This window comes from Homo sapiens, chromosome 12, assembly GCF_000001405.40.
Source record: "Homo sapiens chromosome 12, GRCh38.p14 Primary Assembly".
NCBI lineage: Eukaryota > Metazoa > Chordata > Mammalia > Primates > Hominidae > Homo > Homo sapiens.
In genome coordinates, this window is record NC_000012.12 from 47,311,946 (window position 1) to 47,313,207 (window position 1,262).

Here is a 1,262-nt window from a genome sequence, read left to right on the forward strand (position 1 = left end):
ACTCACTATCATGAGAACAGCAAGGGGGTAATCCACCCCCACGATCCAATCACCTCCCACCTGGCCCCTTCTCCAACACTGAGGATTACAATTCAAGATGAGATTTGGGCAGGCCACAGACCCAAATCATACCAGTGGGCATCATGGGGGCCCTCTTAGACTCTGCTGCATGTTTCATTTCACGATTATTTAATATAATTTTTCATATAATAATTTGTCATATAAAGGAGGCAGATATTTAAAAATTGATCTGCTCAGGGTGTCAGATGCACTAGGTACACCACTGCCCTTTATCCTACTTAATTTTTGTCATAATACTTGCCTGATTTATTGTATATTTTCATTATTTTATATAACATTTAATATATTTATATATTTTATTAATATATAATGAACAATAAAAGTTTATTAATATATGTTCATATTTCATAGTCTATATTATTTAACATTTATTATATATTTTATGTGTTATTCACCTTGTATGTTTATTTGTTCATTGTCATCTCCGCCTTATAACCTCCTTAAGGGCAGGACTTTTTCTGGTGTGTTCACTATATTCAGCACCTAGAGCATTGGCTGGCACATTAGAAGAACTCAATAAATATTTGATGGCTAACTATGTGTAATGTTCAGAAGTGTTAATATAGGAGACTAGATTGTAAACTCCCCACGTATTTTAAAATCTCATAGATTTTTAAATTAGGTTTTATATGAACCACCCTCTAGCCTTTTAGTTTTCCCCTAGCTTTACCTCCTCATTTCTAAATTTGTTTGTATTTCTAACCCTGTACTTTGTCAATGTGATACTAAAATAGCTGAATATAAAGTGAGATTTTGGTAAATGACCCATGATTTTTTTTTTAGTAATACCAAATGACAGTCCATCATAGCCAGTCTGTCTTCTGGCAGCCCTGATTTCTGAACTTTGCACATATTGGAGATTATTTTGCTTCTTTCTACCTACAGAACATGTAGGGGCCTGGGGATGTGGCAAGAATCTCACACCTCTTGGAAAGAGGAAGTGAAATTGGCCTTTTGCAACTTCATTTTAATAAAGGGCCTGAGTTAAAGTCTAATCCCAGCCGGCTGAGCCAGTGATAATGTAAGAGTGTGTGTGTGTGTGTGTGTGTGACCATTTTCCTTGGAGAATCCTGCTTCTTAGACTATAATCCTAGATATTATAAATGAATAAATAAATAAAGAACCATGAAACTCTGGTTGGCAGCGCAGGTTAATGATCTGATTGTGGCAAGAGAGGACCT

General features: G+C 35.6%; 1 annotated feature.

The window, feature by feature from the left end:
* Positions 874-923: an enhancer, noted in NCBI's record as "active region_6255". NCBI's record gives its function as "activates an Ori minimal core promoter by ATAC-STARR-seq in GM12878 lymphoblastoid cells {active_cell/tissue: GM12878}" and the evidence as "EXISTENCE:reporter gene assay evidence [ECO:0000049][PMID:35858748]".